Source organism: Homo sapiens, chromosome 18 (assembly GCF_000001405.40).
Source record: "Homo sapiens chromosome 18, GRCh38.p14 Primary Assembly".
NCBI classification, from domain to species: Eukaryota; Metazoa; Chordata; class Mammalia; order Primates; family Hominidae; genus Homo; species Homo sapiens.
The window spans coordinates 56,051,790-56,067,659 of record NC_000018.10 but is presented as its reverse complement, the minus strand read 5'-3'; the positions used below and the strand labels follow the sequence as shown (position 1 = coordinate 56,067,659).

The window sequence follows — 15,870 nt, the reverse complement described above, 5'->3', positions numbered from 1 at the left end:
AGTGATATACATATTTACATGTATGCATGACCACCTATTATATAAAGATACGACATGATGTTCAAAATCAGCTTTTGCCTCCCATTAAATTTTTCCGTAGCCTCTCAGTCATTCATTCAACCTAATAACAGCAATCTTAATCAGAGTATCGATTTATAACTCTACCAGGTGGCAAAAGGCTTTTCCAAGTGACCTCTTGGGGATCCCTTCTGGCTATCTTCTGGAAAATAGGAGATTAAAAACATGTGTGTTCCCACAGTGCTGCATTCTGAAGATGTTTCCTCTCCTAGTCCTGCCCCATGTAAGTTATGTAAGACTATGGAAATCAACAAAGAGCAATTCATGCCTTGACTGGGTTTATTGTTGTTATTGTTTTTAAGGACAGACCTAAAATTGGAAGAGCAACTCAAATGCAAGCAGTTTGTACATACTGTCAAGCTCATAGAAAATTCACTTCTGACTTTTCTGCAAAGGATAGAAGTGGATAAAAATTCTTGGTATTTTGTGAGTCTATTAACTCTTGGGGATGGAAATAAAATGGATTTAATATAATATCCTTACATCTTAAGCCATCAGAGCTTAACCTGGGAAGCTGAACCTGAAATGTGGGAGGACTAGGAGAAAGCCCAGGGCTTGCAGCACGAGTGTGTGTGGCATTTTGATGTTACTATGGGGATTGCTATAGTAACAATTCCACTCATCCTTCATTTATTAAGTTATTTTACTGTGGAACCAAAAGGTAAACCAAACATTCAAAGAAACAATAGCTTTTAAAGAGATTTTGCTGTTTCTGCACTCCATGCCAAATGTTTCAATGAAAGTACTTTGAGTGGAAAAGACAATATTGGCAGATAATTTAATACAATTGCAGGAATGAGATTCCTCAAGGTTTCCTCTGAGACTGAAAAAATAACAGCTGATCTATGTCATAATACAGTGTCGAATCTGAGAATTTACCAGCCCTGAGACTCAACTCTCTGAGACAACAGTGAAATTATCCTTACTCTCCCATACCCACTCTTGTTCTTTTATTCCTTCATTCCTTTAGAAAACAGCCTCTTTCCCCCACCCCCCACCCAATAAACAGAATAAGAAAAATTCAGCTGACCAGCAAAAAAAAAACACCTTAATCTTGATGGGTTTAAAGGCTTTAAGTGCAGTATCCCACCCCTGGGGCCTCAGCAGGCCTACGGTTAGAATATAGGGGAGGAGAAATAGGGAACTTTGGGAGAGGGATTGAGGTGGAATTTTCCTGCCCTATCCTTGGATCCTGTGTTCCTGGTCCCTTGAGGGTCTCTACCAGGGTGGGTGGATTCGCCTGGAAAATGTTCATAGACTCTCTGAAAGCAAAAATAAAAGTGGGGGAGTGTTGAACAAAAGCATGTGTTTCCAGGTCTGCCCTACTGTAATGGAGCTTCATGGTAAGAAGCTCCTTATGGGGTACGGTTGCATAAGGAAAAAAAAGAAAACTGAGTAGTATCTAGGAAAGGCAACCCTGAAAAACCAACGCAAATCCATGTAAGATCACTAATAATGTGAAAAATGCAAGCAAGTGACCACTTGGCTTGGCCCCTCCACCTCCCCAATGCTAAGGGAGAAGGCTTCACTGCTTTTATGCTTGTCATTATTATGATTCAATCAATCAATTGTTTTAGCACAGAGAAGATAAGGCTTATAAAGAGAGGCAGTCACCAAGATCAAAAGAATGGATAAGTGGAGATAGAATCCATCTAGATGTGGTGAGCCAAGGACAGTCTAAAGAAGACCTTCAGGAATCAGAGCAAGTGGTGTTCTGAGCATTTCCCACACATTGATTCAATCAACTCACACAAGAAATAGCCCTTAGAAGTCACTGTTTTCAGGACCCTCAACATTCAAATGGGAAAGCTAAGACACAGAGAAGATAAGGGGCTTTTCTACAATAAAATGTTCAGTAAAGAAAGGAGCCTGAGGTCAGGAGTTTGAGACCAGCCTGGCCAACATGGCAAAACCCTGTCTCTACTAAAAATACAAAAATTAACCAGGCATGGTGGTGCACACCTGTAATCCCAGCTACTTGGGAGACTGAGGCAAGTGAATTGCTTGAACCCAGGAGGCAGAGATTGCAGTGAGCCAAGATCACACCACTGCACTCCAGACTGGGCGACAGAGTGAAGTTATACTCCGTCTCAAAAAAAAAAAAAAAAAAAGGAGCTGGGGTCGGGAACCCAAGCAGCTGACTCCAGAGTCCATATGCTTACCCAGGACCCTGCCTTGCTCCTGTAAGTCAGCATGTGAAAAACAGAAGCAAATTCCAAAGCTGCTTTCTACTAAGTTGGAGGAAGAGAAGCACAAAGGGGAACAAAGATTTGGCTAATGAAGGTATATGTGCTCTGACTGTGGGCCAACAGCAGCAGACGGCCTCCCAGGGGCTGGAAAGCCAGCCAGGCAGAACACCTTGAATCTCAAATGAGGAAAAGCAGGCACAAGACTGCACCCTTAGGATGCTCTAAAATGCACTGAAGCCTAAACCGACTTTCTCCTAAGCCAAACCAAATCTTCTGGGTTCCCCTTGTGTATCTTGTTTATGGGAATAGAACAAGATATTATTCCCGTTTTTTTCCTCCTTCACAGGTTGGAAAAGTCAAATCCTATAGAAAGAAAGAATCAAACATTTGGATTCTATATTGCAATCATCAGAGGTAGCATGAGAAGCCTAGAAATCTCTTCCTGCAAGTCAGTAGTAGAAGCGCATTTAAAACCTCACTGGCAAATTCCTGGCAACTTCAAAGAGAAACAGAAAACGTCTAAAAATCCTGGGCTCTATTCTACTTCAGTAAAAAGTTTAAAAGCCTCCTGGCCTCATTTTAGCAAGCTCCCAGTTATTTTATTTGTATCATTTGGTCTTGAAAAGTTTCAAGGCTTTCTCCACCAATGGCTTAAAAAATTAAAGCAAGGTCAGATTAGGCTCGTCTGGGGAGCTGAAGATAGAAAGGATAGGGTTTAAATGTGCCCGTGTTAGGACCCAGTAAGGGGAGGAAGTGAGAAGAAGCAAATGAGCTTCCAAAAAGAATTCACATATGGACGATGCATGAGAGTTTGCTCGTGCTTGCGTGTGCACACGCATGTGCAAGCACGTGGGCAGAGGCGACTGCCACTAAGGAAGGACTAGTTTCCCTTGACTATAATTAAGCTTCTTCTGGGCTGGGGTGTTTGCTTGCCAGGCGTATTTCCTTGATTCTCAGAGCTCTACTAATCATGCAAAGTCTTTTGTGCCTCAGAGACCCCATCTCTCCTTTCCCCATGGCCAGAGCCTGGGAAGCCCCACATCATACTAAGTAGGAAATTACTGATCTCCAAGGATGAGGTAGTATGGAAAAAAAATTACAGTACTTGGGAATTATCTAGAAGTCTCATAGTCCAATGCCTGGGGATATAGCATTGGGAAAGAGAAAGGCCAGGAGAAGGAAGACAACGGAGAATTAAGCACGCTAAATGTCCTTACGTTTTATAAGGTGCAAACATGAAGCTAGCTGTACTTTGCCACCACACAGTAAATATAAGATTACTAGGCAATTATATTTAAACATTACAGAACCTCCGAAAATAATTGCCATGTTCAGGGCAGTTTCTCAATCCCTTGATAACAGTATAGTTTAATGGATAGAAACAACTATATCATTTATTCCTCTTACATAAAACGCCACCAACCATGTAAGTACATGATCAATAATAGAGGTTTACAGTGGGTGTGCAGTCGTCCTGAGAGCTGCAGCTTCGTGTAAAGTAATGAGTAAAATGAGAAGCAAAAAATATGGAAAGGAAGTGCTTCAGCAGAGCAAGGATCCAAAGGCTTCTCAGTGCCTTTATTTTTATGGTGTCCACGGAACAATGTGAAAGCTAAACTTGGAACTTTTAAGAGATTTGTAAATTAGCTGAAAATATGACAGCTAATTGGATTCTTCCATTTAAGGTTTTGGATATAATCGAAATGAGGATTGGGGCTATAGGAGGGATTTGGGGGTGGGTGGAAAGAGGGGAAAGTTTGGAGATGAGATTTATTTTTTGACTTCTGACCATTTTCCTTTTTCACAGACCTGGGTGTTAGGAAGAAAATTAAAGCATTGGTTTGGCGGCAAGCCTGGAGCCTTTTGTAGGTGTTAATTTAACTAAAGAGATATTCCCAGGTCAGCCATTATGTACTCTGAGCAGCATTTCTAATATTGAGTCAATAATTGACCACTCTTCTGAAAAACAGATTGCAAAGTTTCTAATGGGAAGCATGGGGGTGGGGTGCTTCAAAAGAAGCAGAGGTGAAGAACTTGACCTGCTCCCAGATGTCCACAATGAGGCTTCCTTCCTAGAGAGGCACAAACCCCCTTCTGAGATCACCTGTTTGCAGACAGCCTTTCCTTTTTTAATAATTGCTAGAACTTATTGAGGACTTACTATGTTCCAGACCCTGTGATAGCTGCTTCACTTGATTGATATCATCATTCCAGATTATGACAGAGGGAACTGGAGTTCTGTGAGGTCACGTTGTGTGTCCAAGGTTACCCAATGTGTTAGAGGTATGGCTGAGGTCCAGCACACGTCCTCCAAATTCACAGTGTTCACTCAACCAGTACTGCTTCCCTTCTTATCCAATGCAATGATTGATTCCATTTAAGTCAAAGAAAAGCAAGAGGGACCATAACATACATTGATTTGCCTAGAAATATCCTACCATACAGTTTTTTGTTTTACATTTGTGAGCTTATATAAAAGTTAGAAATGACCTAGGGAAAATGTATTAACCCTACTGTACAGAAGAGGAAACTAAAACTCAGAGAGGTTAAGCCTCACACCCAGTAGGTAGTGAAGCCAAAATTATACACCTGACTCCCAAACATCTACTGCCATTGTAATACACTGCCTCCTGCAAGGCTAAAGTAGCCAGCCCAGCTAACCATCAGGAGCCTATTTGCTCTAACTCACATTTACAGTAAGTGAAATAAAAATCTACCTTTTTGACCTGTATTGCGAGATGTCAATGAGCTATGACATGTCTCAGAGTGCTCCACGGGGAAGGCCGATCCATCTCTCAGCTCTGTATCCTCCTCTCTGGTCAGGTTAATGTCTTCATTGGTAGTCATAAAGAGCTTCTTTGCTTTTAATATTCCCTGTGTCCTTCCTTGAGTCCAAATTCTACCCATGCTTGAAGGCTGAGCTCAAGTTTGCCTTGCTCCTTGAAGCTGTCCAGGATTGCTTTTCCCATATTTCCCATAGAGTTTCCATTCTTCCCTGGAGCTCCTGCAGTGCCTACCAGCACATTGCCTGTGACAGTGCCCTGGTTTCCATTTCCTAGCTCCTCAAAGGCTCCAGGAACTCTGTGTTGTACTTTCACTTTTTTGAGCTTTCTTTTAAAAATATTTTTAATTGACATAAAATAATTGCAAATATTTATGGGCTACAGAGTAGTATTTTGATACACACAATGTGTAACAATCAAATCAGGATAATTAGCCTTTCTATCACCTCAAATATTTATCATTGTTTTGCACTGGGAACATTCTAAATCCTCTCTTCTAGCTATGTGAAAATATACAATAAATTATTGTTAACCATAGTCACCTTACAGTGCTATAGAACCCTAAAGCTTTTTCTCCCTATCTAGCTGTAATTATGTGTCTTTTAACCAGCCTCATTCTATCCTTCCCTCTCTCCTACCCTTCTCAGCCTTCAGTAACCACAGTCCCATAATGTGCCTATGACACGATTGGGTTCATACATGAATACTTGGTGAGTTGGGATTGAATTAAGTTGGCATCCTACAGGCCCTTAATATATGTATAGTATGGAAATAAATAAGAGGGAAAAAAATAGGAAATAAATTATGTTCTAAAGAGATCATTAAAATAGTAAGGAATAAGATTAGGATTTCATGGAGAAAATGGTATGAGAGAGGATACCTGGAAGTTTTCTTTAGTATCTCAATACAGAGCCAATTTCCCTAGCTCAGTAATCCTGAAACTTCAGTGTTCAACAGAATCACCTGCAAGGCCTCTTGAAATACATAGCACTGTTTTTTATTTCCTCTGCTGCACCAGAGCTTCTGATTCAGTAGGGCTGGGGTGGGGCCTGAGAATCTCCATTTCTAACAAGTTATCAGGAGATGCTGTTGCTGCTGGTCTGAAGACCACTCTTGAGAACCACAGTGATTCTCTACTGTGGCTGCAAATTATAATTACCTGCTATGGGGAACAAATGTAAGCAGCCTGCCCCACATCAGGCCAATTAAATCAGAATCTCTGGGGAGAGATCTGTGTACAAGCAAGCTCTTCACAGACCTGATCCCTCCACTGGCTCACCTCTTAAAACTCTGAGATCCCTGAAGCTTCCATTGTCTTGTTTATTTTCTAGGAATGCACTTGGTAAATAGGAGTTCAATAACTGTTTGTTGAAGAAAGAAAAGAACTATGGTGGGTCAGATGAGAGACAAAAATCACTCTGCAGAGATACAGCATGCAGGAGACCACCTCTGAGACTGAGGCAAGAGTGTGCCTGAAATGCCAGGGGTTCGATCTAGGTCCTGCTGTTCCCTGACACAGAAAGCCAATGACTGACACAATGAGTATTGCCAAAGAAGAAGGCTTTCATCGAGTGCTGCAGCCAAGGAAATGGAAGATCAGTTTCAAATCCATCTCCCTGAACAACTAAAAATAGAGGTTTCTACAGCAGGGAAGAAATGTGACTATGCATGGGAAAACAGGAATTAGGGAGGGGTCATGAGGCAATCATGATGAATGAGGGGTCTGACATCCCATTGGCTGGATGTGGTTACATGATGAGTTTCTGTTCTTTGACACTTTTTGAAAGGCCTGAGGGCCCTTTCCTTACAAAGAAACTCAGATAAAACCAATGTGAGTTTCAAGCTTTAAGACCAGAAGAGTCCATTTCTATGTTACTATAGGAAAAGAAAAAAACTGCCTATGGGACTATTGGGTTGGTTTCAAGAGGTTATCTGAAAGGCAAGGCGGCCTCCATAACTGCTTATTTTCTTTTCTTTTGAAACTGTCATTGTCTTCCCAACATCTAGGCTTATGATCATATGGGTAAGCTTAGATCATACATTCTGTCTACTCTACCCAGACCAGAATCATACAATCAAAGACATACAGAGTCAACTAGGTAATATAAGTGAGCAGAGTTGGACTGGAGTAAGGTCCATGGAGGACTGCAACTAAACGGGTACATCTTGTCTGGAGTTGGACTAAATCATTGTGAAGCTTTAAGTCAGATTTTCTTAGTGTGTTATTTATACACCCTCCTGGCATATGAGTGACAGGAAAGTCAAAGTCATTGACTCTCTAATATTTATTGAGCACCTTCAAATACTTTTTGAGTATCTACTATTATTGGGCACCTACAAACACTTATTGACCATGTGCCAAGCACAGTGCCTAGCAAGTTCTTCTTTTCTAATCAAATCAACAGGTTGGACATCCCTACCCAAGGCTCAAATGGTAACAGGTCCATGCCTTACTTGTGTCAGTTCTCTTATTGAAAGAGCATCTCCTAACCATCCTACCAATAAGGTAAAGGTGTTATTTTGAATCTGAATCAAAATGAACCTTCTCCATAAATCTCTTCCTCACTAGCTGGCCCATACCTTATTACCTTTTCTGGGTCCTTCCCTTAATAATTAGCACTGAGCTCACAATTATTGCTTTTTCTCTTAACATGTTGCTTTGTAATTGTCTCCAAGATCCCCTCCTATTTTTATATATCCAATTTACTAAATCATTCCTATTTCTTCAGCAGCCCTGAATGCAGCGCACTGTGATTCAATAAATGTTTGTTAATGAAGGGAACTACAAGCTGGTTGGGAATCAAATCTTTTCCCGTGGGAGTTACCAGGGATAAAGTCAGTCAGACCCTTCTATGGCCTGAGAAGTGCTGGGAGTAGCTTCCTTTAGAAGTTCAATAAAAACAAGTCTCTGAATTCTAAAATTCTCTCCACTCCATTGTGATATGTCTCTTCAACCATGACTATTCCTTTTTTCCAGGATTACTTCCCGAGTAGATTCCATGCATGGGTGTATTAACTTTTCTCAAATCATTAGGTTATGTCTCATAAAAATCTGCATCTCCAAAAGTGAAAATTTTCTTTGACACAGTAAATAATTTACATCTAATTGATAGCCCCCATTGGATATTTAACATGAAAAGACTTCTAGAAAATCTGCAACGTAGTTCTTTTATTGGGTTCTATACTGACTGCTTTTGGGCGAGAATCACACCCTAAAATTCCAATGGGTGTGAGCCAAAGCTGCATCATTTTGCAGCTAATCATAACAATAATAATGAGCACATTTCAAAAGTGCTAATTACAGATTCAATTGGATTATGTTCTCGTTATAAATGCTACAGGTTTTCTGCCAGGTTGGTACTTCACAACAGTATGTTTTCAAACACCTGTTTACCTTTATCATCACTAGATATATTCAAAAAGAGAAACTTTTAAAAGTTGAGATGCATGTTAAATCTTATACGTCTTTATACAATTTGGAATTCTTTACCCAGAGGCCTTTACTGAACAAACTGAAGCAAAATGAATATTTATATAAATCATATGCAGATAAAAAGCATGGAAATTTATAAATTATTTACTTATCCAGTAGACTTCAACAGGCTGAAGGGATGAAGGGGAAGAGTAGAAAATAAAACAGAATTATCCTGGTAATTTTCTTGCACCAAAGAAAACTTTACTAAATGTTAACTGTATTTAAATCTCTATTCCATTTCATTATGAGAATGTAAGACTACAAGGGTGGATAAGACGCAACCCCAAATACAATCTATTGAGGGAGATTTTCCTGTAGACAAATGTTATAAAGTGGTAGACAAAGTCTGGAGAAGGAAGCAAGGCCAGGAAGGTAAGGCTGGATGTGGACTACAGATAACAAACAAAGGCATTAGAGTTAGGGTAGGATGGTAGCTTTGCTTTTTTGTTGTTGTTGAGACAGTGTCTCTAGTGATCTTGGCTAACTGCAACCTCTGCTTCCTGGGTTCAAGTGATTCTCCTGTTCTCCTGCCTCATCTTCCCAAGTAGCTGGAATTACAGACATGTGCTACCATGCCCCCATGTCTGGCTAATTTTTCTATTTTTAGCATAGATAGGGTTTCACCATGTTGGCCAGGCTGGTCTCGAACTTCTGACCTCAAGTGATCCACCCACCTCACCCTCCCAAAGTGCTGGGGTTACAGGCACGAGCCACCACACTTGGCCAGTTTTGCTTTTTAATTCAGTTCTGGTAATGTGGTTAATGGCAGAATCCTCGTTGAATATGGAGGCAAGAAAACATATGATGAGGCACCCTTTTAATCTTGCTCCATGTGCGATCAATGTTAGGCTCTTACCTGCAGAAGGCAAAAGACCAGGGCTTGTTTTTTTAAAAAAGTAAACATCTCAGAGGTATGCTAGATGCATTAGACAGTGGTTTTCAGTCCTGGCTACACACTAGAATCACCTGGGCAGTTTTTGAAGCATATCAATGCCCTAACCTAAAGGAGTGAATCTCAACCTCATGGGGTGGATTCCCGACAGAAGTATTTTTTAGAAGTTCCCCAGAGGAGGCCGGGCGCGGTGGCTCACGCCTGTAATCCCAGCACTTTGGGAGGCCGAGGCGGGCGGATCACGAGGTCAGGAGATCGAGACCATCCTGGCTAACACGGTGAAACCCCGTCTCTACTAAAAATACAAAAAATTAGCCGGGCGTGGTAGCGGGCGCCTGTAGTCCCAGCTACTCGGGAGGCTGAGGCAGGAGAATGGCGTGAACCCCAGGGGGCGGAGCCTGCAGTGAGCCGAGATCGTGCCACTGCACTCCAGCCTGGGCGACAGAGCAAGACTCCGTCTCAAAAAAAAAAAAAAAAAAAAAAAGAAGTTCCCCAGAGGATTCTACTGTGAAGTTAGGGTTGAGAGTCACCATATTAAGAAATGGGAAGATGTTAGATTTACTAAGTATCTTCATAGTTGATTTTTTTTTTAGAGTGTGTATGAGACTCACACAAAGGAGACCAGGAAGAAGATCAGCATTCCATCATCGATTGTTACCCTTCAAATCCACAGTGCCCCATCTTTACTCAGTTGCCAGGGCTATTCGACTTTTCTTTTTTTTTTTTTTTCTTGAGATGGAGTCTCACTCCCTTGCCCAGGCTGGAGTGCCGTGGCGCGATCTCAGCTCACTGCAAGCTCCGCCTCTCGGATTCACGCCTTTCTCTTGCCTCAGCCTCCCGAGTAGCTGGGACTACAGGCGCCCGCCACCACGCCCGGCTAATTTTTTGGATTTTTTTTTTTTGTACAGACGGGGTTTCACCGTGTTAGCCAGGATGGTCTTGATCTCCTGACCTCTTGATCCGCCCGCCTTGGCCTCCCAAAGTGCTGGGATTACAGGCATGAGCCACCGCGCCCGGCCATTATTCGACTTTTCTAAAGCAGATCAAGCCTGGAGGGTCTCCCCTGAGATTACAGATAGGACAGTTTAAGCATCAAAAATGATAATGACTATAATGAATTGAAACTTGTCAAATATATGAAAACTGATGAGTTCATAATGATACTTCAAAAATAAACAAACAAAAAATCTCATTGATCACCTTGGAGGTTGCTAGGGAACCAACTCATTATTCTGAAAGTGTATCAATTAAGGGAAAAATCTCAAGCATTCCTCTTGTCTTTCCCTATTTGGACTAGAACTCAGGCTAATCAGCTAGTTGATGAGGAATACAGTTGTTCTTTATATAGAAGAATCATGCATAATAAATGCAGAAAAAATTAAAGAATTAGAAAATCACTATTTTCCACTAGCTAATGAAATAATGAACCTAGACAACAGTAATCAATGGCAGCTAAAATTATTACAGTAGTCCCCCCTTACCTGCAGTTTTGCTTTGTAAATTTCAGTTACCCATGCACACAGTACAATAAGATATTTTGAGAGAGAGACCACATTCACATAACTTTTTTTTTTTTGAAACAGGGTCTTACTCTGTTGCCCTGGCTGGAGTGCAGTGGCCCAATCATAGCTCACTGCAGCCTTGACTTCCCAGCCTCAGTTGATCCTCCTACCTTAATCTCCCGAGTAGCTGGGACTGCAGGTGCGTGCCATCACACCTGGCTAACTTTTGTATTTTTTTGTAGAGACAGGGTTTCGCCATATTGCCCAGGCTGGTCTCAAACTCCTGGGCTCAAGCAATCTGACCGTCTTGGCATCCCAAAGTGCTGGGATTACAGGCGTGAGCCACCATGCCCCCCTTACATTCACATAACTTTACTTACAAGTATATTATTATAATTGTCCTATTGTTGTTAATCTCTTACTGTGTCTAATTTACTAATTAAACTTTATCAAAGGTATGTATTCACAGGAAAAGACATAGTATATATAGAGTTCGGTACTATCCACAGCTTCAGGCACCCACTGTGGGTCTTGGAACATATCCCCAGAGAATAAGTTGTGGGGCGGGGTTGGGGAGTACTGTTGTATTGAAAAACTTGATGGGGACATTTTAATGGATGAATCAGGCAGTTAGCTCATACTTTTATTAAGGTGACTCTTGAATAACACAGATTTGAACTGTGCAGGTTTACTTATACTAAGATTTTCTTCTGCCTCTGCCAACCCTGAGACAGCAAGACCAATTCCTCCTCTCCCCTGTCCTCCTCCTCGCCTACTCCACATGAAGACAACGAGGATGAAGACCTTCATGATGATCCATTTCCACTTAATGAACAGTAAATACATTTTTGCTTTCTTATCATTTTCATAATAAAATTGTCTTTACTATAAGAATAGAGTATATAATACATGTAACATACAAAATATGTGTTAATGGGCTATTTACATATTTGAGTTCTTAATATGAGTTCTTAATAATTTCAACAGTCAGCTCAGTAATTAAGTATTTACAGAGTTAAAAGTTGTAGACTTGGATTTTCAAGTGCAGGGGGGTTAGCGCCCCTAACTCCTGCATTGTTCAAGGGTCAACTCTAGCTTCCTACAGCGTCTATAACAAATTACCACAGACATGGTGGCTTTGAACAACAAGAGTTTATTTTCTCACAGTTCTGGAGGCCAGACATCCAAGATCAGTTTCACTCAGCTTCATCAAGGTGCTGACAGGGCTGCACTCCCTCTGGGTGTTCCCTCCACTCTTTCATTTGCTGCTGGCTGCAGGCTTCCCTCCGTTTGTGGCTGCATAACTGTAATCTCTGCCTCAGTGGTCACACTGTCTTCTCTTCTGTATGTGTCTTTGTAATCTCCCTCTGCCTCCCACTTATAACTTGTAAAACCAGAAAATCTGAGACAGGTCTCGGTTAATTTAGAAAGTTTATTTTGCCAAGGTTGAGGACACGCCCATGATGCAGCCTCAGGAAGTCCTGACGACAGGTGCCCAAGGTTGTCGGGGCACAGCTTGTTTTTATAGATTTTAGGGAGACATGAGACATCAATCAATATATGTAAGAAGTACAGTAGTTCCATCGAGAAAGGTGGAGACAACTCAAAGCAAGGCCCCCCCACTGGGGACTTTCAGGTCACAGGTAGGTGAGAGACAGATGGTTGCATTCTTTTAAGTTTCTTATAAGTCTTTCCAAAAGAGGCAATCAGAATATGCATCTATCTCTGTGAGCAGAGGGATGACTTTGAGTAGAATGGGAGGCAGATTTGCCCTGTGTGGTTCCCAGCTTGAAGGGGCCCAAGATATTTTCCTTTCACAAAGGACACAGGTAATGGCCTCTGAGTCCCAGATCTGGTATCCAGATGATGCAGGATAATCTCTGCATCTCAAAACCCTTAATTTAGTCACAACTACAAAGACTCAGCCTCCTTTTCTCCATATAAGTTAATGTTTATACATTTTGGGGATTAAAATGTGGATATCTTTTGGTTTGGGGGACCATTTTTCAACCTACCACAACACTAAATCATGGAGTAATCTTAATATTAAGGAAAATGGGATAAATACACGATCCTTGATATGCCTTTATATGAGAAGACTAGAATATGAGGCAATACCACCTATGAAATCCCTCTACCCCACACCACCAAATCAACTTTAATCTAATCAGGCCTCTAGTTCTAACTACTGATTTTTGTAGGGATAGAGAAACATATTAAATGACACTAAAAAGATATAATCAGGCAAATCCAATCATTCTACAAGACAATAGGCCCATTTCTCAATCTCTTCAATAAATGCACCAAAGAGAGGAAACAGTTGTGCGTTAAAAGAAATATAAGAACATGTTAATCATAGGCAATATTCCTAGAATCTTGTCTGGATTCTGAACTGCACAAACCAACAATTAAAAAAGATACGATTGGGACAATCATGAAAAATGAACACAAATTGATGATATTGGGGAATTGTCGAGGTTTGAAGGCCTTGATAATGATTTTGTGATTATGTTCAAAAAATAAAACTAGATATTTAGACTGAAATACATATGATATTTAGACTGAAATACGTATGATATTTAGACTGAAATACATATGAGTGAAACGATATTATGTCTAGAATTATCTTTAAAATACCCCAGCAACAAATAAATAAATAAATAAATAAATAAATAAATAATAAATAAGAACAACAAATACAATTTTTTTAAATGTGATGGTAGGGCAAATAAGAGCAGCATATTCGGTAAAATAAGAGCAGCAGATGCGGATTATTGAAACTAGGTGACAAATGTGTGGGAGTCTATTGAACTAGCCTTTATATTTGTATGCATGTTTGAACATTTCCAGAATATAAGTCTATTTATGTGACAGTGCAGCCTGTCCCCATGAGGCCAAGTTTAACTAACTGTCCTTAGGCCTGGCCTTACTCTAGGGAGTTGTTACCTATGCAATAGTAACACCCACTTCATCTCTTAGGACTATTTTAGGGGTAGCGTAGAAACAGATGAAAGTAAAGTATATGTGGAAGTCATTAATGAACTCATTTCTTAGGCTTGCTTTTCCAGAAATGTATCAGCCTGAATAAGTACTAAAATTGATAAGCACTATATTTTTGATAATTAAAAAGCACTACAATTTCAGGAAGCATTTGAAGTCTGTTCGCAGACAGCATTCATAGCTCCCAGACTTCTGCAGAGTTTTACTCCCTGAGGTAACTCCAGTACAAATGGAAAAGAGTAGAGTGGATGAAGACAGAAAGTGCAAAATAGACAAAAGCTGGCTGCAACTCCAATGTTCATCAAGATGAGTGGATAAACAAAATGCGGTATATTCATACAATGAAATATTATTCAGCCATAGCAATGAATGAAGTATTGGCACCTGCTACAATGCGGACAAACCTTGAAGACATTATGCTAAGTGAAGGCAGTCAGACTCAAAAGGTCACATACTGTATGACCCCATTTACCTGAAGTATCCAGAATACGGAAATCCACAGAGACAGAAAGCAGACTAGTGGTTGACAAGAATTGAGGGGAGTGACTGTGTAATTGGCAAGGCGTTTCCTTTTGGGATAATGGAAATGTTTTGGAAGGGAAAGGAGGTAATAATCACACAACATTGTGAATGTGCTGAAAGTCATTGCATTGCTATCTTTAAAATCTTTAATTTTATGTCATATAAATTTTGCCTCACAAAAAAAAAAAAAAAATGATAGAGGGTGGTGTTCCACTGTGCTTCCCAGCCAAGCCACAATGTTCTGATTATGAAAAGGAGAAGTAATCAATCAATGCCCATTCGTGAAGCATCTTCCGTGACAAGATACTGGGATGGTACTGTGGGGGATTCAGAGGACAGAAGAAAAGCTAGCTGTGACTTTTCACTTCAAGATGCTTACAATCAAGTTGTGTGCTCAAGGCCATGAGACAAAATTTAAACAAAATAAGAATGAACACTTAAGCTATTGTAAAATGTGAAGTGATGGAGTAACAGATGAGTGACACAGGCCAGCAGTTCTCAAAATTCTTCAGGTGGAGGGACAGAAAGAAGTTGCCATGTCTTTATGGAACACTATGGGATTGTTTTTAATATTGATTCATTTATTATACCTATGATAAAAAAAATCAACTTCATATTAAATAACATATCATCTGGCAATAAATTCCAGAATAGATAGGCATTAACAGGGAGCAGTGGTTTATGAAAAATTAGATAAAACTCAGAATGGAAATCAGTTTACTTATTAATATTGGCATGTTTGTGAAAACTTGGAAAGCTCAATTCTGCTTGACCCTTGCACCTTGGTCCAACTGTGGACACCAGTGTTCTTAAGCATAGCTCATTAACTTACACAATCAACAAGTTTTTACTGAGTGTTCACTATGTGCTGAGCACAGTGCAGCCTCTGGGTAAGCATGATGATTTAAGGAGTAATGGTCTCTGTCCTACGTAGCTTGCAGTTGATGGAGGAGATGGAAAATAAATAAGCAAGCAATTATACATTGTAGAAACATGGTGTAAAAAATGTCCAGGATGATATGGTGAGACAGAATAGTGGGGGAAAATGGTGTGCAGAAGACATGTCACATGCAGTGACCCCAAGGCATGGAAGTCCTAGATATGTTCAGAGTTCTGAAGGCATGTTGGAGGTTGGAGGGGAAGAAGAATGACTGGGACTAAACCTAAAGGAGCCAGTTCAGCTGAACATTGAAGATCAGAGTAAGGAGTTCAAAAAGAAGTCATTAAGTGTGAAAATAGTATGATTATGTTTGTTTCTAAAAAGGATAACTCTAGTCACTACATAAATAAAGATGGACAAGTTGAAAGCAGATAGAATATAGAAGAAACCAGGTCTTGGCAAGCTTGAATTCAACCCCTTCTTTCCCTTAAAATCAAGCTCAGAACAGCCAGCTCTCAGTGGCTCAACCCTGAACCTCATCCTGGCCCT

General features: G+C 40.4%; 2 long non-coding RNA genes across 3 annotated transcripts in view; one reads left to right on the top strand and one right to left on the bottom strand.

Moving 5' to 3' along the window:
• Nucleotides 1-15,870, top strand: part of LINC03069 (long intergenic non-protein coding RNA 3069) — a 187,650-nt gene that overhangs the window by 123,603 nt on the left and 48,177 nt on the right. The window contains exons 4-6 of the long non-coding RNA NR_148972.1: nt 7,456-7,556; nt 11,001-11,118; nt 11,606-11,755. This is a non-coding gene — a long non-coding RNA (long intergenic non-protein coding RNA 3069). The remainder of the gene's footprint in view (nt 1-7,455; nt 7,557-11,000; nt 11,119-11,605; nt 11,756-15,870) is intronic.
• Nucleotides 1-15,870, bottom strand: part of LINC01905 (long intergenic non-protein coding RNA 1905) — a 54,038-nt gene that overhangs the window by 28,656 nt on the left and 9,512 nt on the right. The gene's annotated exons all lie outside the window — the stretch shown is intronic.